This window comes from Homo sapiens, chromosome 3 (assembly GCF_000001405.40).
Source record: "Homo sapiens chromosome 3, GRCh38.p14 Primary Assembly".
Lineage (NCBI taxonomy): Eukaryota > Metazoa > Chordata > Mammalia > Primates > Hominidae > Homo > Homo sapiens.
In genome coordinates, this window is record NC_000003.12 from 52400562 (window position 1) to 52424150 (window position 23589).

At 50.2% G+C, this 23589-nt stretch overlaps 2 protein-coding genes across 15 annotated transcripts, besides 7 other annotated features; one reads left to right on the forward strand and one right to left on the reverse strand.

Moving 5' to 3' along the window:
• Nucleotides 447–9447, reverse strand: BAP1 (BRCA1 associated deubiquitinase 1). Of its 7 annotated transcripts, none has more exons than XM_047449044.1 (17): nt 9281–9447; nt 9153–9182; nt 8993–9047; nt 7913–8045; nt 7397–7516; nt 6838–6899; nt 6613–6755; nt 6268–6346; nt 5692–5761; nt 5204–5351; nt 4549–4733; nt 3892–4025; nt 2855–3333; nt 2622–2737; nt 2218–2310; nt 2041–2113; nt 447–1860 (listed from the first exon to the last, which is right to left on the reverse strand). In XM_047449044.1, the coding sequence occupies exons 1-17, from the start codon at nt 9315–9317 to the stop codon at nt 1727–1729; spliced, it is 2091 nt and encodes a 696-aa protein (XP_047305000.1). In that variant the 5' UTR covers nt 9318–9447; the 3' UTR covers nt 447–1726. The 7 variants fall into 7 exon arrangements, with proteins under 7 accessions (XP_047305000.1, NP_001397701.1, XP_011532453.1 ...); NM_001410772.1 differs by having other exon boundaries at nt 2577–2737; XM_011534151.4 differs by having other exon boundaries at nt 2218–2379; nt 2577–2737.
• Nucleotides 8567–9115: an enhancer, noted in NCBI's record as "H3K27ac hESC enhancer chr3:52443144-52443692 (GRCh37/hg19 assembly coordinates)". NCBI's record gives its function as "activates a minimal SCP1, AML or CMV promoter by ChIP-STARR-seq in primed H9 embryonic stem cells {active_cell/tissue: H9 hESC(primed)}" and the evidence as "EXISTENCE:reporter gene assay evidence [ECO:0000049][PMID:30033119]".
• Nucleotides 9116–9664: an enhancer, noted in NCBI's record as "H3K27ac hESC enhancer chr3:52443693-52444241 (GRCh37/hg19 assembly coordinates)". NCBI's record gives its function as "activates a minimal SCP1, AML or CMV promoter by ChIP-STARR-seq in primed H9 embryonic stem cells {active_cell/tissue: H9 hESC(primed)}" and the evidence as "EXISTENCE:reporter gene assay evidence [ECO:0000049][PMID:30033119]".
• Nucleotides 9116–10113: a biological region, named in NCBI's record as "H3K27ac hESC enhancer GRCh37_chr3:52443693-52444241".
• Nucleotides 9264–9403: a silencer, noted in NCBI's record as "silent region_14441". NCBI's record gives its function as "represses an Ori minimal core promoter by ATAC-STARR-seq in GM12878 lymphoblastoid cells {active_cell/tissue: GM12878}" and the evidence as "EXISTENCE:reporter gene assay evidence [ECO:0000049][PMID:35858748]".
• Nucleotides 9584–10113: a silencer, noted in NCBI's record as "silent region_14442". NCBI's record gives its function as "represses an Ori minimal core promoter by ATAC-STARR-seq in GM12878 lymphoblastoid cells {active_cell/tissue: GM12878}" and the evidence as "EXISTENCE:reporter gene assay evidence [ECO:0000049][PMID:35858748]".
• Nucleotides 10099–23080, forward strand: PHF7 (PHD finger protein 7). Of its 8 annotated transcripts, none has more exons than XM_024453589.2 (11): nt 10099–11262; nt 12250–12359; nt 13435–13487; nt 13935–14026; nt 19272–19373; nt 19750–19874; nt 20342–20501; nt 21087–21193; nt 21661–21777; nt 22199–22320; nt 22530–23080. In XM_024453589.2, the coding sequence occupies exons 2-11, from the start codon at nt 12319–12321 to the stop codon at nt 22754–22756; spliced, it is 1146 nt and encodes a 381-aa protein (XP_024309357.1). In that variant the 5' UTR covers nt 10099–11262; nt 12250–12318; the 3' UTR covers nt 22757–23080. The 8 variants fall into 8 exon arrangements, with proteins under 8 accessions (XP_024309357.1, NP_001308056.1, NP_057567.3 ...); NM_001321127.2 differs by having other exon boundaries at nt 10099–10778; NM_016483.7 differs by having other exon boundaries at nt 10099–10686.
• Nucleotides 10214–10313: a silencer, noted in NCBI's record as "silent region_14443". NCBI's record gives its function as "represses an Ori minimal core promoter by ATAC-STARR-seq in GM12878 lymphoblastoid cells {active_cell/tissue: GM12878}" and the evidence as "EXISTENCE:reporter gene assay evidence [ECO:0000049][PMID:35858748]".
• Nucleotides 11810–11859: an enhancer, noted in NCBI's record as "active region_19941". NCBI's record gives its function as "activates an Ori minimal core promoter by ATAC-STARR-seq in GM12878 lymphoblastoid cells {active_cell/tissue: GM12878}" and the evidence as "EXISTENCE:reporter gene assay evidence [ECO:0000049][PMID:35858748]".
• Nucleotides 23081–23589: the final 509 nt, after the last annotated feature.

Genomic DNA, 23589 nt, shown 5'->3' on the forward strand with positions numbered 1-23589 from the left:
GGCTGCAGCAGCCTCAGCAGACGATGCAGTCGGCAGAGGAGAGCGGGACAGAGGCGGCAGCTTTGACCTGCTTTACCTGTCCAAAAGCAACAAGGAAGAGATGCCCAGCGCCCTCCCAGGGAGAACACACCAGGCGAGATTAGATTAGAGGCAGCCCCGCCTCTTTGACCCACAGTCCCAGCACCTCTCCAGGCTGCAAAGCCACAGATTTGGTGAAAGCCATGGCCCTCTCCCCAGAAAGTGCACCCTGTCTACAGTCCACCTGAAGTCCCTCCTCAGCTCAGGTCCTAAATCCCAGGCCTAGGATTCCAAGGATCTCTGGCCCAAGACAGCTGGACACTCAAGGATCATATACTTCTTACCTTTCTGGTCCCAGGGCCCTAGGCCCATGAGGTCTAGTAAGGCCCAGCCTCCATATCTCAGGCCAGCAACCACAGGAGGGTTCATTTCTCAGGAGATTCTTAGGAGAGTTTTATTCATTCATTGATCCAGTATTTACAGGGGCTAGAGGGGTCAAGCTGTGCTCAGCCCAGAGGCAGCTGCCACACTTGCCAGCACCCCCCACTCAGTCACTATGTACAGATAAAGGGGCCTGCTTGGATCACCTTTTTCAAAGCCATCTGGCAGAGGCCATGGGGCTGTGTTGGGGCCTGGGCTCCAGAGGCACTGCTGGGCCCATTACCCCTTGGCATCAGGTCCTCTGGAACACAGGGGCTCCAACGGGTTGTCTTGATCCTGCTGTCCCCCACCCTGAGTGCCTTGCAGAGGCTGAGGAAACTGGAGTAGCAGGAAGAGCTGAGTGGTGCCAGCTTCCTATAAGCAACCCTGTCTCTGCTACCCCTGAGAGGGAGACATGGTAATACTGAGGGGCTGGACAGAGGCTCTTCTGAGCCTCAAGCGCCAGGGACAGAGACCTAGAGCCCAATTTAGGCCCATAGCTAGGGCCACAACACTGAAGGCGAAGAGCCCTAGAACCTTGCTATGGAGAGCAGTCTTGAACAGCCTGGCTAGAACAAGGAAGACAGTTCACAGGCCACTGAACAGTTCCCACATGCTCTGCTCAGGCCATGGGATCCCAGCAGCCTGCTCACCCCAACCCCACTGGGACACCCTACTCCCAACCCAGCCCAGTGCTGGGTCCCTGAGTTTGGCACTCTCCTAAGAGGAATGAAGAGAGAAGACCTGGCTTCCTTACAACAGGGACAGGCTGGTGGCTGGGGCTAGAGCAGCAGGGCCCAGAGCCCAGGGCCCACCCAGGCCCCCAGCTAGGACCCTGTAGTTGGGACCGTGGCATGATACAAGGACCTGGGCCCACCAGGACAGCTCCTAGGAGAGAAAGCATAGTCAGGTAGGAACTTATGTCAACATGGTGGCATGTTGGGTTGGAGCCCAGAAAAATAGATGTCTCTGATAGGTAAAATATATATTCTGCTGCCCAGGCAGAAGGGCCAGGTCCTGCTGCTCCACAGCCGGCTGTGGAGGAAGCTGCAGTACCTCGCTGTGCCCCAACTCCAGATGCTGCCTCCTGAGCACTATGGGGCTGATCTGCCGTGTCAGGCCTCAGGGCACGATGGAAGGAATGTGGCCTGGTTCCTCCCATTCCCAGGGCCTGGACTCTCCAGCTGGGACTATTCAGTAATACTGGGAAAAGGGGAAGTGGGGCAGGGAAGGACCCTGGTGAGGGCCACACGGCAAGAGTGGGCTGCAGAGTCAGGGCCAGCAGTCCTCACTGGCGCTTGGCCTTGTAGGGGCGAGAGCGTTTCCGCCGGTCAGGCTTCCGCTGCTTGTGGAGCCGGCCGATGCTGACCCCTTGGCGCCGCCGCACGGAGATGTTCTGCTCCACTAGGTTGGCCAGCATGCCTGCGAAGAGGTAGAGACCCTTGAGCAGGTGCTGGCTGCCTCAGGCCAGGAGCTGAGGCTCTCATGGCCCTCCCTGTGCCCCAAGGTCTGCTCAAGCCTCAGGAGAGGCCAGGGGAGGGGAGCTGAAGGACACGGCCCTCAGCAGGGCATTCCAGTTAAGACAGCAGCGCATCCCCTCACCTTCCTGAGCCAGCATGGAGATAAAGGTGCAGATGAACTCATCGTAGTTGTGGGTCCTTCTCTGGTCATCAATCTGTAGGAGAGAAGAAGACTGAGAGCACTGGAGCCAATCTTGCCAGAGCAGCCACCAGTGGACCTCGGGAGAGGCCAGATCAGGCAACTGGAGAAATCACCCACCTTGAACTTCTTCCTCTTCTCTACCTCCTCCTTGAGGCACGCCTCATAGTTTGCAATCTCAGCCTCCACACACTTCAGCAGTGCCAGCAGCTCCTGCCAAAACCCAGCATTGCACCTCTGATCGGGGCGGGCCAGCAACAAAGCCCCACGAGCAATAGGCAGCTAGAGGCAAGGATGAGCAGCGAGTCCATGCCTATCAAGGCCCCTGCCACCACCCAACCCAGAAAGTCTTCTGGCACATGGCTCCAGCCACCAATCTTCACACCAAAGTTCCAATCAAGAACTTGGCACCTGGGCAGGAGGAGCTCAGGCCTTACCCTCTGCCAGGATTAAAGGAGAAAACCACAACGGAGGCTCACCTTGGGTGAGTATTTCTCCCCACTCAAGGGCTCGCCAGGCCTCACCATCCCCGTCTTCTCTCTGCTGTCCGTGGCTTCCACGACCTCCTTCTCCACTGGGCTGCTGGACCCCTGGCTGCCTTGGATTGGTCTGATGGAGGGCGAGGAACCCTTCCCACCCTCTGGGAAGAGAGGTCACAAGAAAATCATCAGAGTGCAGGACACTTTGTGGTCACTTGGCCACTTCCCTCCTCCCTCCTGGGTGCACCAAGTGGCCAGTGAGCCAGTCCAAGGCCCACCTGTCAGCGCCAGGGGACTCAGCACCCCATCCTCAGCCAGGTGCAGCAGGCCTGTGCTGATGACAGGACCCAGATCACGGACAGCACGGTTGTAGCGTATGCAGTCAACACGCAGCAGGCTGTCATCCTCTCCAAAAAGCACCTTGGAGATGTGGGAGGTGACAGGGCTGGAGGGCCGCGTCGGGTTGGCTGAGCGGATAGGCGAGCGCAGTGGCGAGTTGAAAGCACTGCCGATCTCAGAGGCCGTGTCTGTACTCTCATTGCTGGGGGTGGGTGAGGGCTGCGAGTGTGTGGGCACTGCCACAGCCGGACTCCCAGCCCCGCTGCTAGTCTTGATGGACAGAGGAATTGAGAGGTCCTTCTGGGACTCTTTGAGCTTCTCAGCCAAGACGTTGATGGTGTTGGGCTGCAGCACTGACAGTTGCCCATCAGCAGAACCGCTCAATGCCCCTGGCTTCCCTGTTCCCTTCCCCTTATACCTGTGGGGCCCGAGAAGATGTGAAGCAAGGGAACGGGCCAGGTGACCATACCCAGCAGTACCCAGAATGGCTTAAATACATCCCGACCTCCAGGGGCTGACCCTAAAACTCCTTATACTTGGTCCAAGCAACTTGAACTAGCCATGCTAAGCCTGGCATCAAGTTCTGACAGCTGCAGCCAAGTGTCCTCAAAAGACACTTCCTCTATTCCAGCCATCCCACTCCTGGCCTTTTGCCAATGCCCTGTGTTCCAGCAAAGCTGCCTCCCCACCACCCACATCTCCTCCATCCCTGCCCCAACCAATCCTTCAAGGCCTGGCTAAAAGGCCACTTCCAATAGGACATGATATAAGCTTACGTGCTCAGCCTTACCCCCCAGCCCACCAAAAACTTCCTGGGGACCTGGGGTCAGCCCCATCATGCCAGCCTCCCCCAGGGCCCCAAACTCCGCAGGTGCTCAACATTATCTGCTGCAGGGCATTCTCAGACACAGACTGAGATATTCAGGATGGGATCCGAAGCACCTAGAACCTGGTAGCCTTAGAAAGCTGGGCTGACCTAAGGGCAGAGTTGGTGTTCTGCACGTCATCCTCCTCGTCATCCTCATAGTCATCCTCATCATCTGAGTACTGCTGGGGTGGGCGGACTGGAACTCGGCTGCGGCCCACACCTGCCGCCAGGTCTTCTTCCTCCTGGGACAAAGACCAGGGCAGTTACAAACAAGTGCTGCTCGGCCCAGGCTGAGCCTAGACACTCACAGCCAGAGAGAAAGCCAACATGGTTTTCCAGACTGAGTCAGCGGAACCCCTCCAGCTGTTCCATGGCCTGTCCTTGGCTTGTGGGGAGGCTGCCACCCACTTACACTGGATAGAACCCCACGGAGGGGTTTTAAGAGAAACAGAGTGCCCTGAAACACATGCCTTTATTTTGCCAGTAAAACCCAACCCATGAAGTTGTACCAAGGAGCGTGACCTAAACATTTAATCCCACAGCCACGTAACTAGATTAAATTCAAAGGAGCTCTCCCTGCCTCCCTAAGCTCCTGCTGTTGTGGGGGCCTTTTCATATCAGGCAGAGGAACCTAGCAACCCAGGCCCAGGCAGCTTGACCCAGCCATGCCAAGGATGAACACCAAGGAACCACATGGGAAAATTGCCTGTTGCAGCCTCTCAAGAGAATCAAGTAGAGAATCCTGCAAGGGTGCTCCCAGCTTACCTGCATGGGGGACTTGGCATAATTGTGATTGTCTAGAAAGGCCGGCAGCCGCTGGACAATGGGAGTGGGGTTGGGGTGAACCCCATTGAGGCTGCTGCCTGGAGGCTTCACCACTAGCTTGGGTTTGTTGGGAGGGCTGTGGGATGGGGCTTGTGCGCATGAACCAGCCGCCTCCTCTGCACCATCTGAGACAGGGCAAGAACACAGGCAGGACCTCCAGTAGGATCTCCAAGAAAAGCTCACAGTCTCCCCGGCCCTGTGAACCAGCACTTCCCAGAGAAGAACAGCCCAGCCAGCTGGTGCAATGGGAGTCAGCAAGCTCTAAGTCATGATCCCGCAATGAGACAGGGCAAAGAATGAGATGGGAAAAAAGAAGCAGGAAGAAAAAAAAAAAAAAAAAAAAAAAAAAAAACCGCCTCTAGAGAAAACAAGAAAGGGAGTGTACATTACAGAGAAGGGCCCAGGGGCCTGTGGTAACAGCGGCCCTTTACAGGTGCCTTTCTTTAGGGAAGGACTGCTCTCCCTCTACCTTCTGACGGGGGAAGAACACTGCCCAAGGACATCCCCAGAAAAAGACTTTCCCTGTTTAGGCCTCCCATGTCAGACATTAGCGGGTGGCTCTGAGGTCCACAAGAGGTCCCAAACCCCCCAGTACCTGTGTGGTTGCCCTCAGAGGCTGCAGGGGCCCTGTTTGCTTCCAGCACCAGCGGGGACTTGTTGCTGGCTGACTTGGACTCCTCAGGCAGCTGTGACTCTTGAGACTTGTGGGTCTGAATCAGCTCTGGCTGTGTTACTCTTATCAGCTAACAACAGAATCCAGGGCTCAGAGGAGAAAGGGTAGACCCGGGCTTCTACCTTAAATAGCTAAGGGCTGAGGACCTAAAGGAATAATGGCCTTGGCTCTACCCATTCACTCACAGGGAAATAAAACACCCAAACCCAAACTTCCTTTTAGAAGCTATTCTCCCTCCCCACTCCAAGTCCCACCTTTCCCACAATGGGGGCAAAGAAAAGATGTGGTTAGCTGAAGCCCAGATCTACAAGAGAGTATGTTCACGAATCAGAGACAAATGCTGTGGGGGAAGGGAGGAGGAATGCAGGGAGGGTTGGGCTGGGCAGAGGCCAGGAAGAAAGGGCACCTACCTGCTGCAGAGCCTCTAGTACTGTCTGACGGTTCACCTTCAGCACATGCAGCCTGGCCTCATACTTGATCCTGCGGTCGGGCACCACTGCCATCAGGTTGAAGCGGATGTCGTGGTAGGGCTCCCTGCAGTCACAGCCGCAGCCGTGAGAGCAGCTCCCGCCCCGGCCCCGCCATCAGGTTGAGGCAGATATCCTGGCAGGGCTCCCTGCAGTCACACCTGCAGCTGTAGGTATAGGCCCCACCCCAACAGGCAGGCAGCGACTAGCCATACATGCCAGGCACCTGAGCTGGTACCTTCCAACAAGCTGTATGAGGGGCCTATCTGGAAGTGAACCAGCAGACCTGGGCTGCCTAAGGCTCCACTGAGGCCTGCCCCTCCCCCAGCCCACCCAGGAGCAGGCCACAGGCAGCCCAGGCAGGAAATAAGACAACAAGTTGAGAACCCATGATCTAAGCCTGATCTTGCCAGATTCACCATATGGCCTTGCAATTTACAAATCACCTGGATACTCTCTGTCCCTCCCAAAGTAGGTACAGCTCCAGAGAGTAGAACAGGGCAGGCACAGGGCCCTTACCCTGCAGTGGCGAGGCCGATACGCTCCATGATGACCCGCCGGGCCTTGTCTGTCCACTCCTCGTCCTCCCCCCAGGGCCCTAGTGGAGACCAAGACAAGGAATCAGCGAGAAGGAAACCCTGAGTTTGGGCAGGCCAGGAGTGGGAAGGAAGACAGAGAAGAGCAGTTGAGCCAGGGAATCAGGAGCTGGTCGGGCAATATGGTGTAGGGTGAAACCCCAGCCAGAGCCGGGTGTCGGTACCGACAACCCCTGCCACTGGGTACCACATACCAGAGGGCCCTGAGCCCCAGCTCCCTAGGAGGTAGGCAGAGACACCCAACAGGCCTCCAGCTCATGGTGCCTACCATGGTCAATGGGGTAGACCTTCAGCCCATCCAGCTCAAAGAGCCGGCCTGTGATAGGCACATAGCTGACAAAGTGGAACGCCTCCATGGTCCGCACTGCACTAAGGCCATTCTGCTTCTCAGGGAGGTGGCGTGGCTCGGGCCTGGGGAAAAACAGAGTCAGGGCCCAAAAAATGATACTCCCCCTACTCCCACCCCACATCAGCTCCCACAGCTCCCACACACCTGGCATGGCTATTATGGGCCTTGGCCAACTCCGGGGCATTGCCAATCGCATATCCTTTGCTCTACGGGGAAGAAAATAAGGCCGTATCAGAATAATTTCTCCTCAGGTAGGACTATGGGTGGAAGGCAAAGCTTCAGAGAGCAGCCTGGAGGCATTCCAGGAATCGGAAGGAACACAGACGAACTTTCTTAAAAGGCTGGTGGGGGCAGAAAAGAGCTCTGGAGCCCCAAAGAGATGGACTGTGCTGGCCTTGCATGGTAATTAGTGGACACTAGGAAGCAACATGGCCTGAGAGGAAAAGTCCTGACAGAGAAGGTTCTGACATGGTCTGACTTAAGGAAACTCTCCTCCCTCCCTAGGCCTGTGTCCTTTCCCCGCAACTGCATCTAAAAACAATGGCCTTACACAATTTATTTAAGAGTCAAATGTAACATAAACAATCATTTGAAAAAGAAACAGCCTAATAGTACCCAATATCATGTGGTAGCATTCCCAGTGGCCCTCAGGGTCAGATCTGCCCAGTTGGCTGTGAGCCAGGATGAAGGCACTGCAGCCTACCTCAGGGCTGAAACCCTTGGTGAAGTCCTTCATGCGACTCAGGGTGGGTCCCAGGTCCACGCTGCTGCAGTTCAGGAGCACGCTCAGCAAGGCATGAGTTGCACAAGAGTTGGGTATCAGCTGTGAAACCAAGAATAGTCACCCATACACAGCACCCCTCACTGCAAGCCCCAAGCCCATATACATCAAGAATGGGGATCCAGAGCAGGTCAGTCATATCTGGACAACTCCCCTTCTCAGCTCCTTTCATCTTTGCCTAATGTTTATTCATTTAACAAGCACCTACCAAATACCCACTGGATATCTGAGGACACAGAGAGTGGACTCAGACACCCTCCTACTCTAAAGCTGTTCCCTTTAATGAATTAAGAGTTCAGTTCGTTCTGCCAGAGGATTTCTGTAGCTACCACCCCTAGAATCTGCCTATCTCCTCCTCCTGTCTTCCTCCATTTCCACTTCCCAAGCAAAAACATGGCAGCATCCCACCCTCCAAACAAAGCACAGAGTCCAGCAGACCTGGTGGGCAAAGAACATGTTATTCACAATATCATCATCAATCACGGACGTATCATCCACCAAGGTAGAGACCTTTCGCCGGGACCGGCGCTCTTCGATCCATTTGAACAGGAAGATAAATCCATATACAGGGCTGGGGGAAGTAAGGGGCAGAGCCAGATCAGCCAAAGGGGAGAAGACAATCAGCATTCCCTTCTTTCTCCCATTAATCCTTTGCACTGCGTCATCACTCAGGTGTCCTTGCTGTGATCCCCCCTCTCCCCTGGCTTCTTCCCAACACTGTGTCTGAAGTGGCCTTGTGCCCTCACACACCAAAGGCCTGCCACAGGCAGAGCAAAGCATAAGCCTCTGACTGTGATGCTCCAGGAGTCCACCCAGTCTCCTTATGAAGTCTATAGTTCTGGGTAAGAGAAGAAAAGCTGGAACTGAGGGCCAAGGATGGGACAGGGTAGGAACACAAAGTAAGACAAGAACAAAAACTCTGATGAGGAACTGAGGCACTCCTTCTCACTTGTGGGCCCCAATGCAGTCAGGAAAGCAAATGAACACCCACACCAGTCTCTTTTGTTCCAGGAAATTAAAGTAGACTTCTTGGTTCAGTCACGGTTGCTACTGTTGCTACTCTCTTACACATCTATTCTGCAGGACCACTGGGAAAAGACTCTAAGTGTGGGCACCCAGGAGGGGCCTTGTCACCCCAACCAATCAATACAGGATGACTTTGTGTCAGGATTAAAGCCAAGGACACATGGGCACACTAAAATTAATACATTACACAACTGCACAAAAGACATTGTGTGACCGGGGTCTTCCCGCTGCAAGGCCAGGAAAGCAGCTGAACCAAAGGATGCTTAGGGGTGGGGAGGGGGCTGCTACAAAAAGGGAAGCGCTAAGGAAAGTTTGGGAGAAAAGAAAGTATCAGTTTGATCAGGAGCGGGCACTCAGAGAGCAAGGCTGCTGCTTTCTGTGAGATTTTACAACGTAGGGTTCCTGGCACTGTCTTCCCTAAGGGGCCCTGTTCTCTGGGACCTTCCCCAGCACTCTGGGTGTAAGGGGCAGCCCTGGTGTACAGCCACTCACCCCTGACATTTGCTCTGAAGGTCGTAGATCTCCTCCACTTGCACCCCCTTGACACCTGCGATGAGGAAAGGAAAGCAGTAGGGAAGGACAGCCCCTGATGAGTGAGGGCGCAGGGGTGGGCCGCCACAGCCCCGGTCCGGCAGGGAGAAAAGGCTCTTACCGAAATCTTCCACGAGCAGGGTGAAGAGGCCTGGGTGGGGCGACAAGAGGAGGGGGTGATGGTCAGGCAGGCGCGTCCCGGGCCCATCCGGCCTCCCCAGCCCCTGGCCCTCCCGGTCCCCTCCTCACCTGGGTCGCTCTCCAGCTCCAGCCAGCCCTTATTCATCTTCCCGCGGGGCGGCCCCTCAGCGCCATGTCCAGGCCCTCCCTCCCCACCGCTGCCCCCACCGGGAGCCCCCACCGCCCCCGGGGCCCCTCAGTCCCACACACAGACAACGGGCCCAGTCGCGTCACCCGCCCGCGCCGGCGGCAGACGTCACCAAGGCGCGACGGCCCTGCTCCGCCTCTGGGCTCGTCTTCCGCCTGTCGGACAGCAGATGCGGGCATGCGCTCGAAGGCGAACGCGCACGCGCGGAGGGACGGGGGCGAAGGGGAGGGACGGGGGCGAAGGGGAGGGGCGGGGCGGGACGGGACGGGGGCGAAGGGGAGGGGCGGGGCGGGACGGGGGCGAAGGGGAGGGTCGGGACGAGGCGGGCGAAGGGAAGAGGGGGTCCGGGCGATGCTGAGCGCTGAGGCTCGAGAGGAGGGGCGGGACGGGCAGTACTAGGCCCGGGTGCTGCGAGGGGAGGGGCGGAGCGGGCGAGGGGAAAAGGCGGGGCCGGGAAGTGCTGGGCGCAGGTGGGGCGAGAGGAGGGGCGGGGCAGGCTAGGGGAAAAGGCGGGGATGGGCGGGGCTGGGCGCGGATGGTGGGAGAGGAGGGACGGGGCGGGGCGGCGAACGGAAGGGGCGGGGGCGGGTGTTGGGCGCTGAGGCGCGAGAGGAGGGGATGGGCGGGGCGCGCGGCCGTTAGCGCGCGGCCGTTAGCGGTCGGTTTCTACTAACGGTAGGCGTCGCCGCGATTCCCGAAGGTCATAGTCCGCGTGACCCACCCCCGTTTGCGCGCTCGCAGTCTTCGCCGGCGCAGTCACCGCGCAGGGCGGCCGCCCGGAGGTAGCTACCACGGCCTGTGTCAACGACTAAAGCTCCAGTACAGCGGCGCCCTCAGACAGCTGGGAGGGTGGCTCTGGCCGGGAGCGGCGGCCGGTGAGCTACCGCGAGGAGGAGCGGCGGAGGCGACCTCGGCCCGGCCCTGCACTGGCCGCCCGGCAGGCGCGACATGAGCCTGGTCTGGCATCCGCGGGATGCTCCTTAAGCCCCTTCTCCGGCTGTTAACCTCCGGGGAACGGTTGTGACCACACCGACACGTATTTTACAGATAAATCATTCTTGCGGCGGCGGGTCGAACACGTTTATTTATTTTTTATTTTCTCAACAAGCTTTTACCCAGCACCTGTCCAGTGAAACAACTTGATAATCGTTTCGAGGGGCGTCCGCCGGGTTAGGAAGCCACTGCCTGGCAGCTTGTGGAAGCCTCATTTGCAAAGCCACCCCTCAGATGTTTTGAAGATCGTGACGTCTTGTAACTAGCAGTGTGTGCACAGAATCCTACTCAAGGAACGTCTTGGCCCAGCGATGCAAAGAACTGAAGTTTCAAGGTTTTATGTCTATTGCTGGATGGTCGGGGTAGCCCCAGTAACTGGGAACTGCTCCGCAGTCCGCTCACGTGGACCCCTGTGGGAATAGCAAGGTCAGGACATGCCCTTCTCTCTCCTCTTCCAGCCTGTCCAGTGTTTTCCTTAAGGAAGAAGCCATCAGATGTCATTGCTTCTGCAACTCCTGGGTTAGAGGAGGAGACAGAACAAGCACAAAGAAGGGGAGGGCAGGGTGGCTTTGGTTTCTTGAACAGTAATTTCCTCAGTCGTCCTTATTCATGCAGAATAGTTTAAAGTCCCTGAAGATATTCCCGATCTCCAGCCGTGATCGGAGGCCATGGATACTGGAGTGTCTCTGGAGTGACCTGATTCACCCAGCCCTCCTTCTAAGAAATGCTGTCCTTCTCCTCTCCCCTGACTAGACAGTCCTTGCTTCACAGCGGTGGATTTTCTTTCGTTCCCGTTCACTTTCAGGGATCTCCCCGTTAACCAGTGAAACTGTACATTTGTTTTACAGTTTGTTTACTAATGAAAACAGGTAACAGCCGGAGTTGGCTGACATTGGAAATAGGAGACAAGGTACCTTCTGCACTTTTGGCTATTGTACTCGGCTCAGATGGAGACAAAGGTTGGGTACAGACCATATCTCAGTGGCCACCTGAGCCTAGGTGAAAAGAATTGATAGGAGAGGTCAGGCCTGGTGGCTCACGCCTGTAATCCCAGCACTTTGGGAGGCTGAGGCGGGAGGATCACTGGAGCCCAGGAGTTGAAGACCAGTCTGGGCAACATGGCAAAACCCTGTCTCTACAAAAAATTAGCTGGTGCGGTGGCATGGCACCTGTGGTCCCAGCTACTTGGGAGGCTGAGTCAGGAAGATCATCTGAGCCTAGGAAAGTGGCACTTTCATGCACTCACCCACTGCACTCCAGCCTGGGCAACAATGAGAGACCCTGTCTGAAAAAAAAAAAAAGTGATAGAGCCTAGGGGGTGTTTGTCAGTGTTACCTCTTGTCTCTCACTAGAGGGAGTTCTTGCTTTTAGGCAGCCCAAATCTCACAGGCTCCTTTGCTTAGGAAAAAGCTACCTTATCTAGCTTTCACTGGGTAGAATTAAGGCACCCATACTTAGGTGCAAAAGGAGCCTTTTTTTCCTGAGTGCTACTTCACGTATTTTTTTGTAGGCACAAAGAAACAACCATTTAGCTAGGTCAAGTAATGGTTCTAAGTTCTTTTGCTACTGTGTGATAGCAGTATAACATGAGAGTTAGTGTTGGCCTCTGGAGCCAGGCTACTTGAGTTCAGATCCCATCTATATCACTTACTAACTCTTACCTTGGGCAGGATACTTAAACCTCTCTGTGCCTCAGTCCCCCATCTTGAAAATGGGGATAATAATGGTACCTACTGCATGGCGTGTTTGTGAGTTAACACATGTCAAGTACCTAGAACAGTCCCTTTTATTCCATCACATGGGTTGGGAGGTGAAGTGCACCATTGCCTTGACCCTGGGGAACTTGATAACCAAATACAGAATTAAATTGCTTACCAAACCCCATTTATATTTATAGCTGGAAGAGCCTGTATTGTCCTCACAATAGTATAGAAGAATTCAAGAGAGGAGAGAGAGACAGCACCGAATGAAGACTGTAAAAGAAAAGAAGGAATGCCAGAGATTGAGGTAGAAGTAGTTGACATAGGGAATTTGGGAGAAATTGTCCAATGGCCTGTGGTATAGGCTGCACTTTTTGCCCCCTTTGTCGTAGTCTTGGGGGTTGAGGTTGGACAGTGTGGAAGCACACACGGAGCTGGGAGCTGTCATACCTGTCTTACCAGTGCTGTCCCTAGTAGCAAAGTGCTGACTCTGGAACCTTACTACCCAAATTCATATCCTAGCTCTGCCACTTGCCAATAACTGTGACAGAAGGCACTACATTTCTTTATGCCTCAGTTTCCTCATCTGGAAAATGTACATAATAATGGCATGTACTTTTTAGAGTGTTCTGTAGATTCATTGAGCTACTGTAGATTAATTGAGCCAATACATGTAAAGTGCCAAGAATAGTGCCTCGCAACAGGAAATACTTTTATCAATTTTGGTTCATTTCAGTATGCTTTGTAAAGGTGGTACCACCTGAGATTCAGAGTAGTTGGCAGAAGAAGCAGTAAAAAAGTAAAAGAGGGTTTGCTCTTGCATTCATTCAGTCAACATAGGCAGTACAGGCACTGGGGAGAGAAAGATGCTTACAATCCGGTTCCTGCCCTCAAATAACTCAGTGAGTATGTTTTGCACTTAAAAAAAATATGAAATATGGCCAGGTGCAGTGGCTCATGCCTGTAATGTCAGCACTTTGGGAGGCCGAGGCGGGTGGATCACCTGAGGTCAGGAGTTCAAGACCAGCCTGGCCAACATGGTGAAACCCCGTCTCTACTAAAAATATAGAAATTAGCTGGGCGTGGTGACAGGCGCCTGTAATCCCAGCTCCTCGGGAGGCTGAGGCAGGAGAATTGCTTGAACCCAGGAGGCAGAGGTTGCAGTAAGCTGAGATCGCACCACTGCCCTCCAGCCTGGGCAACAGAGCAAGACTCTGTCTCAAAAACATATATATGTGAAATATGAAAAGAAGCTGATGTCTTAGGCTTTAGATATGTTGGTCCTTCATCAGACCCATGAATGGCATTTTAAGAGAAATGTTAAAAAGGTTATCAACAAGATCCCCAAAGAACACCTTGTGCTTCTTATTTCTCTTGTATAGAAAATCTGCCAAGACTAGGAGGGTAACCCAGAGGAAACCGTCTTCAGGGCCTGGTAAGAAAGACTGGAGCTTGTGTTCGCCCACTGCCTCCAGCCCTCAGCAAAGAAGGCCACCTGTGTGGGGCAGTATACTTGCTTCTTCTCTCTCTCCCAGCCCTACTTCCTTCCTAGATTCTCTAAGATCTTGAGGACTCAGGAACTGCCATTTTAAATTACCATGTCTGAAGTTCAAGAAACAAGTTATTAAAGTCACTTTAGAACAAAACAAAACCAAAAAAAAATGAAGTGAGCAGTTGTGGCCAACTTTTTCATTGTAACCAGAATTATGTGACAGACTAATTGATACCACATAAGACCTCATCCCAACCTTCCTCCTTGCCAAAATGACCCTTTTCCTAGTATTCTACTCCTTCCTGACTTAGAGGAATGGTTACATTCTCACCCTTCTCTTCCATTCTTAATGGTCAATTTGAGCCAAATTCTGGGTGTCCTCTCTTCCAGTTTGCTGGCTATGCCTTCGAGAACCTGGGGATCCCGAAAAATTAGGGGAATTTCTTCAGAAAGACAATATCAGCGTGCATTATTTCTGTCTTGTGAGTATGAGGCCTCCTTTGCTTTGAATATCCTATGGCTTTTGGTGTACTGACTGTTCTCTGTTACATTCATCCTCATATCCACAGCCTTGTTTTTTTATTTTTCTTAATAGCTTTTTTGTTTTAAAATCTATTTTTAGGCTGGGTGCAGTGGCTCACGCCTGTAATCCCAGCACTCTGGGAGGCCGAGGCAGGAGGATCTCTTGAACCCAGGAGTTCAAGACCAGCCTGGGCAACCTTGTCTCTACAAAAAAATTAAAAAAAAAAAAAAAAAAGCTGGGTATAGTGACAAATGCCACTCCGGAGGCTAAGGCAAGAGGATCGCTTGAACCCTGGAGGTGGAGGCTGCAGTGAGCAGTGATCACACCACCACACTCCAGCCTGGGTGACAGAGGAAGACCTTGCCTCAAAAAAAGAAAAATATATGTGTCTGGTATAAAATCTTGACAGTATAAAGTAAGTTCAGTAAAAAAGTCTCTTCCCTAAACAATGTTCCCAATCCTTCTCCCTCTCCCCAGAAACAAATGCTGTCAAAGTTGTAACATCCTTCCAATTGCTTTTTCCCAGTATTTTTTTATTAGGTATAACTTTCATACTGTAAAAATCACCAATTTTTTTCTTTTTTTGAGAACGGAGTCTCACTCTCTTGCCCAGGCTAGAGTGCAGTGGCGTGATCCCGGCTCACTGCAACCTCTGCCTCCCTGGTTCAAGTGATTCTCCTGCCTCAGCCTCCCAAGTAGCTGGGATTACAGACACCTACCACCATGCCTGGCTAATTTTGTATTTTTAGTAGAGACAGGTTTCACCGTGTTAGCCAGGCTGGTCTTGAACAAAATTCACTAATTTTAAGGGTCCAGTTTGATAAGTTTTGATAAATGTATGTCCCCAAATAACCACCACCCCAATCAAAATAGGTAATATTTTCATCACCCCAGAAAGTTCCCTCCTGCCTCCTTTTCCAGTCAATCCCACTAGACGTAATCACTGTTCTGATCTATGGATTATTTTTGGCTATTCTTTTACTTCATATAAGTGAAATCATATAGTTTATAATCTTCTGTATCTGGCTTTTTTCTCCCAACACAGTGTTTTGGAGATTCATCCATGTTGTTGCATGCATTCATAGCTTGTGCCTTTTTATTACTTGGTAGTATTCGGTTGCATGAATAAGTTACTATTTGCTTATCTGTTCACCTGTTGATGAACATCTGAATTGTTTCCATTTGAGGACTATTATGAATAAAGCTACTTTAAGCATTCATGTACAAGTCTCTTTGTGAACATGTGCTTTCACTTCTCTTGTGCAGATGCCTAGAAGTGGAATTACTAGTTGTATGCTAATTAGATATTTAACTTTATGTGAGGTTGCCACATCACTGTCCAAAGCGGTTGTACCAGCTTACACTCCTACCAGCAATTTATAAGAAGTCCAGTTGCACAGTATTCTTGCCGGAACTTTGTTTTGTCAGTGTTCTTAATTTTAGCCATTCTACTGGGTGTGTATTGGTATTTCATTGTCGTTTTAATTTCCATTTTTCTGATGACTAAAGCTTCTTTTCATGTGCATATTGGCCATTCACATATTTTCTTTGGTTTTTTGGTTTTTTTTTTTTTTTGAGATGGAGTCTCGCTCTGTCGCCCAGGCTGGAGTGCAGTGGTATGATCTTGGCTCACTGCAGCCTCCACCTCCCGGGTTGGAGCAATTCTCCTGCATCAGCCTCCCAAGTAGCTGGGACTACAGGTGCCTGTCACCACGCATGGCTAATTTTTATATTTTTAGTAGAGACAGGGTTTCACCGTGTTAGCCAGGATGGTCTCGATCTCTTGACCTCGTGATCTGCCCACCTCGGCCTCCCAAAGTGCTGGGATTACAGGCGTGAGCCACCGCGCCTGGCCCGGCCCACATATTTTCGTTTGTTAAGTATCTGTACAAATATTTTTACCCATTTAAAAACACTGAGTGGTGGTCGGGCACAGTGGCTCACGCCTGTAATCCCAGAACTTTGGGAGGCCGAGGCGAGCAGATCAAGAGGTCAGGAGATGGAGACCATCCTGGCTAACACGGTGAAACCCTGTGTCTACTAAAAATAAAAAAATTAGCCGGGCATGGTGGCAGGCGCCTGTAGTCCCAGCTACTCGGGAGGCTGAGGCAGGAGAATGGCGTGAACCCAGGAAGTGGAGCTTGCAGTGAGCCGAGATCACGCCACTGCACTCCAGCCTGGGCGACAGTGCAAGACTCCGTCTCAAAAAAAAAAAAAAAAAATTGAGTGGTTTTATTATTGAGTTGTAGGAATTGCTTATATATTTCAGATACAAATTCTTTTTCAAATATATGTATTGAGACTATTTTCTTCCTAGTCTTTGGCTTGCCTTTTCATTTTCTTAATGGTGTCTTTCAAAGAACAAGTTTGTAATTGTAATGGAGCCCAGTTTATCCATTTTTTTCTTTTATGGTCAGTGCTTTTTGTGTGTTGCAAGAAATCTTTACCTACCCATAGAATTGCCTTGGTGCCTTTGTCAAAATCAATTGACCATATATCTGTGGATCTGGATAATCTATTTATGTCATTGATCTATGTATCTATTCTTACACAAGTCCCCACTGTCTTGATTATTGTGGCTTTATAGTATATTGAAATTCAGTATTGTTAAGTTCTACAATCTTTTCCAAGATTGTTTTGACTATCAGGTCCTTTCTTTATAAAGTTTATATTAAGCTTGTCAATTTTTCTTTAAAAAAAAAGTCTACTGGGATTGTGATTGGGATTGCATTGAATTTATAGGTCAATTTGGGAAGAATTGACAAAAAATATTGAACCTTCCAATCCATGGACATGGTATATTTTTCCACTTATTTGGGTCTTTTAAAATATATCTCAGCAATGTTTTGTTGTTTTGGTGACAAAGTCTTGTACATCTTTTGTTAAATGTATTCCTAAATATTCTGTGGTTATGCTATTGTAAATAGTATTTTTATTTCATTTTTAAGTTTATTGCTGGTATATAGAAATGCATTTTATTTTTGTATATTGATTTGTATCCTGTAATCTTGTTAAATTGAGTTTGATTAGTTGTTTTTTTATTTTGTTGTAAATGCCTTGTTACAGGATTCCCTATGCACATAACCATGTCATGTGTGAATAAAGACAGTTCTACTTCTTTCTCTCAATCTTTGCCTTTTATTTCTTCTTGCCTTGTTGTATTGGCTAGGACCTTTAACCTAACATTGAATAGAAGTGGTGTGAGTTGTTATCCTTGTCTTGTTCCCAACATCAGGGGACAGCATCTAGTTTTTCACTATTAAAGTATGTTAGCTCTAGGTTTTTTTCATAGATGTTTTTATCAGGTTGAAGATCCCTTTTATTCATATATAGTTTGCCCAGAGTATCATGAATGGGTGTTGAATTTTCTCACTTTTCCTGTATTTATTGAGATTATCTTGATTTTTCTCTTTAATTTTGTTAATGTAGTTTGTTACATCAACTAAATGCTCTAATGTTAAACTAGTCTTGCATTCTTGGTATAAACTCTACTTGGTCATGATGTATTGTCCTTTTTATATGGTGCTGGATTCAGTTTGCATCTGTTTTGATTTTTATATCTGTGCTCATGAGAAAGATTGGTCTGTGATTTTCCTTTCTTGTAAGTCCTATCAGGTGTCAGGGCTTAGTTATAATTTTGATGTATTTACAAGCATATACATTTTTTACATAAAAATTAAACATTATACAGAGTGCTTTGTATCTTGGCTTTTTTCCATCATATATATTTTGGAAATCTTTCTGTATAGAACATATAGATATAGTTTTTTCTTTTTAGTAGCTAATTTATTAAATCAATACATGCTTATTGCAGAAAACATGAATGATACTTAAAAATATGAAGAAAACAAATCACTCATCCCAAAGCCCTGAGATAATTAGTTTTAAAATATGTGTTTCAAAAGTTCAATTCCTTCCCCCATAATACAGAACAACAACAATCAAGAGATATTAAAACCCTGTTTTTCTTCCTGTATTACTCTGAGAAGAGTATTTTCTCTGTACTAAGAGGTGATGCAGCAGGAAGGGTAAGAATGGGGATTCCATGGGCCTGGGTGTGAATAGCCAGCTCTGCTCCTCCTTGTCCTATAACCCTGGGAGGCAGTGTCACTTGCCACACTGCACCTCAGCGGCCTCCTCTGTAAGATGAGCATCATAATAGCATCTGCCATTACAGGAATTTTTTTTTTTTTTTTTGAGACGGAGTCTTGCTCTGTCGCCCAGGCTAGAGTGCAGTGGCCTGATCTTGGCTCACTTCAACCTCCGCCTCCCGGGTTCAAGCGATTCTCCTGCCTCAGCCTCCCGAGTAGCTGGGATTACAGGCGCGCACCACCATGCCCTAGTTTTTGTATTTTTAGTAGAGACAGGGTTTCACCATGTTGGCCAGGCTGGTCTCGAACTCCTGACCTCAGATGGTCAGCCCTCCTCGGCTTCCCAAAGTGCTAGGATTACAGGTGTGAGCCACCGTGCCTGGCCAAGGATTGTAAGCATAAAATGAGTAAATACAAAGGAAATGTTTCCCCCAAAGTCCCAGCACACAATAGCAGCCCTCAGTAAGTGAGAGGCAGCCTAGAGCAAAAGTAAGAGTCCAGGTTCCAGAGTTCTGTGGCCTTGAGCAGGTCGCATCATCTCTCCTATAAAATGAGGACAATAATAGTACCTACCTCCTAGGGCTGTTGGGAGGACTCAATGAGTTAATATTTGAAACCACTTAGAGTATTCAACACATGGTTGGTGCCATGTAAGCCTTCATTAAATAAATTACCCTGTCAATGCATATATATTCCACCAAGCTCTGTTCTTTTTTTTTTTCTTTTTTGAGACAGAGTCTTGTTCTGTGGCCCAGGCTGGAGTGCAGTGGCACGATCTCGGCTCACTGCAAGCTCCACCCTCTCGGGTTCACGCCATTCTCCTGCCTCAGCCTCCTGAGTAGCTGGGACTACAGGTGCGTGCCACCACACCCGGCTAATTTTTTTGTATTTTTAGTAGAGATGGGGTTTCACCGTGTTAGCCAGGATGGTCTCCATCTCCTGACCTCGTGATCCGCCCGCCTCGGCCTCCCAAAGTGCCGGGATTACAGGCATGAGCCACCACACCCGGCCCAAGCTCTATTCTTTAGCTCTCTTACCCTGTCCTTCTCCTCACCTCACTGCACTGTTTCACTGATCATCATTGTTAACAGCCTGGTTCTACTGCCCCCGCAGATCTTATCTAGTAAGCTGCCTCAGAGGGGCCAGTCCAACAGAGGCTTCCATGGATTTCTGCCTGAAGACATCAAAAAGGAGGCAGCCCGGGCTTCTAGGAAGGTTAGAATCTCTTGAAATGAGGACCTTGGGGTAGGCCTCTTTTCATACCTCACCCATCATTCCTGTTTCTGTTCTCTTCCCTACTTCCTAGTTTAGATGTCAAAGGACTCTTGGATTTTCCAACTAGTCCTTAAGTCCCATATTCCTCTGGGGTATGGGTGTCCTAAGTGAGAAGAGGGAGAAACATCTTGAGAAAATAGGAAAGAACTCAGTGCTGCTTGAAGCTCAGCTTCCGGGTGCCCCAGAGCATTCAGGACCACTGAAGATAGGGAATGGCTATTATTTCACAAAACTTCCATTTAATAGAAAGATGTGCTACACTGTGTGTGTTTGCATTTCTTGGGGTCCTGAGCACTGTCTGGGAACTCATTTGCAGATCTGCTTTGTGTGCAAGAAAAAGGGAGCTGCTATCAACTGCCAGAAGGATCAGTGCCTCAGAAACTTCCATCTGCCTTGTGGCCAAGAAAGGGGTTGCCTTTCACAATTTTTTGGAGAGTACAAGTGAGTGAGGGAAGGGAAAAGTCTGGCTTCCTTTTTGCAACTTATTATTCAGCCACTAATGAAATCAGAGTCCAGTTCTCACAAGCAGGCCTGTTTTGATTCACCAGTGAATCTGTCCCTCCATTCAGTAATAAGAAACAGTGTCTTGACTTGGAGATTTCACAGGGGGTTCTTCTTGCTTCCTGACCCCTCCTTAAATTACAAACAGCTGGGGTTCTTAGACAGCTGCTCAGCACTAAGTGGGGCTTTCAGGAACGAGAGGCTATGGAGACAGTCCTGGGAACTTTGCTCAGTAGGTGAGCAGCCGTGAGAAGGCATGTGGCAGTTCTTCACTCTGCCTCTCCTCTTCCCCATGTGTGGAGGTTCACTGGGCACCAGCCTGGGTGGCTGGCTGCCCCTCCTAGAGCGGGCCATTGGGAAACTACATCAATGACAAACCAGAAACCAAGTCTGTTTACCTGCCACAGATCATTTTGTGACAAACATCGCCCAACACAGAACATCCAACATGGGCATGTGGGGGAGGAAAGCTGCATCTTATGTTGTGAAGACTTATCCCAACAGAGTGTTGAGAACATCCAGAGCCCGTGTTGTAGTCAAGCCATCTACCACCGCAAGTGCATACAGGTGGGGCTTTTTCCGCCCTGGGTCCCTTCCACCATTGCCCTAGTTCTCTGCCTGGAACCAGAGAACCCTGGGAATGCTCAGGTGTGCCTCAGCTTTGGTGCTCCATGCTGGAGGCCTGTATTGAGGGCTGGTTTCAGGCAGTTAGAGGAAAGTCAGTCCAGTCTGTGGTCATTCCTGGCCTATAGGACCTCACACATGATAAGATTTAGAATAAGCAAAATCTTCAGCATTGCTAGAGCAAATGGGCTCATCCCAGAATGAGCTGAGAAGCCTCTATGTCAGCCTCACTTCCTGGGATGAAAGAAAAGGGAAACATGTATCCAGGTGGCTGACCCCTACTCAGTACTGCCGAGCCCCATGGTCAGAGATGACAGCTGAGGCACTCCTGGGAATTCTCTTGAAAGTATTTTGGTCCCAGGTCTGACACCTGGATTTGCAGCCCTCACCCTAGCCCACCCAAACTCCTTTTCCTGTACCCTCAAACTCTCTTAGCAACATCCTCTTTGTAGGGGTGAGGGTGGGAGGAGAAAGAAGGTAGTCAAAGGGTTTTTACAAACACAGAGCTCTTCCCTGTTTCTCTTACAGAAATATGCCCACACATCAGCAAAGCATTTCTTCAAATGTCCACAGTGTAACAATCGAAAAGAGTTTCCTCAAGAAATGCTGAGAATGGGAATTCATATTCCAGACAGGTAGTGGGAACCCCAAAGCAGGAACTGAGCCAGGGAGTGGGTTGCCTAGATTTCTAGAGAGGAGGTGAGTGAGAGGATAGTTCAGAGAATGAGAGCAGCAGAGGCACTGATAAGAAGGAAGGGGAGGAGGGAGTGCTTTTCAATTATCAAAACAGAAGGGAGGGGGAAGAAGTTTGCGGGGGAATGGGGTGCTTGTTGCTGAAAAGGGCATTTGGGGAATCAGAATTCCCTGGGGGGTTGAGTTATTGGATTCCAGAGTGGAACTAAGGAACCTGCATGCATGTTCCATTCATCCTGCTTCAACCCTCTCCCACTGCCAGGCCACTTGGCCAGCCTTGTTGGAAGTGTTCAGGCAGCCTACTGAACTCTTGCTGTGCTTAGCTTGGGCTCTTCCTAACTCCTCCCTGATGGACAAAAGTTTCACCAACCCATTATGTTCTTATTCACTGTTTCTTCTCCCACTGCAGAGATGCTGCCTGGGAACTCGAGCCAGGGGCTTTCTCAGACTTATATCAGCGCTATCAGCACTGTGATGCCCCCATCTGTCTGTATGAACAAGGCAGAGACAGCTTTGAGGATGAAGGGTAGGGGAAGGCTTCTGGCTAGAAAGAGCTCTCATCAGTGCTATCTTAGAGTTAGACCTTGGCACAGTTATTAGAAGTAAGAAATTCACTCTTGTATGCAGACCTTAGGATAAACACGATTGCTAAGTCTCATTCTTGACCAGCCCGACTCACTTGTGTGCACGTGAACACGTCTCCCCTGCAAGGTCCGCTTCACCTTGTGCCCAGTGGAGAGACATTCAGAGCCAATTCCTTTCCTAATCTACCTTTCAAGGGGTTACGACTGATGGCAGGCTTCTGGGATCAGCACTCATCCTCTCTGAGCCATACATTCATCTTGGGTAAAATGTGCTGTAAAAAATGCCTGGCCCATAGCAAACATCCAAGCATGGCAGTTGGTGTTCTGTATGTCTCCACAACCCTTCCTGGGCTCTTCCTCTAGGAGGTGGTGCCTCATTCTGTGTGCTACATGCGGATCCCACGGAACCCACAGGGACTGCTCCTCTCTTAGATCTAACAGTAAGAAATGGGAGTGTGAGGAGTGTTCACCTGCTGCAGCCACAGGTGAGGCTGGAGGGATGGGCCGGCCTCAGAGCAAGGAGGGGGCTGTAGGGACTTGTGGTGCCTGGGAAAGGAGGAAGACATCCCACCAGAGGGGGATTAATAGTTGGTGCCTTTGACTTTGGAAGGAAAGTAGCTAGAGAGGAGCTTAAGGACCTGTGCCTGGGAGAAGCAGAGGCTTGAGTTTTCCTCTCCTGCCTTTCTCTCACCAGACTACATACCTGAAAACTCAGGGGACATCCCTTGCTGCAGCAGCACCTTCCACCCTGAGGAACATTTCTGCAGAGACAACACCTTGGAAGAGAATCCGGGCCTTTCTTGGACTGATTGGCCAGAACCTTCCTTATTAGAAAAGCCAGAGTCCTCTCGTGGCAGGAGGAGCTACTCCTGGAGGTCCAAGGGTGTCAGAATCACTAACAGCTGCAAAAAATCCAAGTAACACCTTCTGAGTAGCTGCTGTCCCACACAATAGGGTATGAAGCTGCGCTCCTCCATCGGGTTTGGGGAGGGAGCACTCTGGGACTGTGAGACAAGGAAGCAGGGCCAGCAGTGAGACTATGAGCCAAGCAAAGAGAAGTCTCAGTGGAGCATGAGGAGGGAGCAGTCCAGATGCCAACAAGGAAATGCGTTTATGGCTACAAGAGTGCCTCTGCTTTCTCCTCCTCTCCTCCCACCAAGGATTCTTCCACCTTAATCTTGTTTTCATATGCCTCTTCTTACTTCACCCATGTTTGTTGTTATGCAAATAAAGGTTTTCTCTCCATTGGTGTCTCCTTATAAATTCATTCTGAAATTTGTCTGGGTAGTAAAGATTCTACGGGGTAGAGTACGAGAGTAAGAAAACTCACCCTCCTAATCCATAAAATTTAGGGAATTAATGTAGAACTTTTAGCTTAGAATATAGACATGTTTCTTTGGAGGGAAAGAAACCTGTTTATACGGAAATTGGCATTACAGAGGTAGAGAATCTTCATCAATCATTGTGCAAATAATAAGTACACAGGTTCTCATTAGGGAGGTGAGCCAGCATAGCAGTCCACACTGGGTGGAGAATAGGCCCTTGTTGCAAGGCTTGGGGTCCTGGACTCAAACAGGTCAAGGACTACCATGCTTATACATGGGGCATAAGGGACTCCATTCTCTCCTGACTGGTGTGGGCTTCAGCACACCTCCACAGCATGAGTGAGCCCAGTCAAACCCTCACTGCCCGGTGGTTCGAGCATTTCCGTCCAGAGTTTAAATATGAATTTGCATGCCAGGACATTCAAATTA

Bases quoted from the DNA above. Each gene is read 5' to 3' on its own strand.
- BAP1 (XM_011534149.4), bottom strand. From the start codon at position 9,317: ATGAATAAGGGCTGGCTGGAGCTGGAGAGCGACCCAG. The intron at 7,517-7,912 runs GTCTGCTGGACT...TTGGTTTCACAG, and splicing joins ACATGTTCTTTGCCCACCAG to CTGATACCCAACTCTTGTGC. The intron at 4,734-5,203 runs GTACTGGGGGGT...GCCCTGTCTCAG, and splicing joins CTCTGAGGGCAACCACACAG to ATGGTGCAGAGGAGGCGGCT.
- PHF7 (XM_024453589.2), top strand. From the start codon at position 12,319: ATGAAGACTGTAAAAGAAAAGAAGGAATGCCAGAGATTGAG. The intron at 19,875-20,341 runs GTGAGTGAGGGA...TACCTGCCACAG, and splicing joins CAATTTTTTGGAGAGTACAA to ATCATTTTGTGACAAACATC. The intron at 21,194-21,660 runs GTAGTGGGAACC...CTCCCACTGCAG, and splicing joins GGAATTCATATTCCAGACAG to AGATGCTGCCTGGGAACTCG.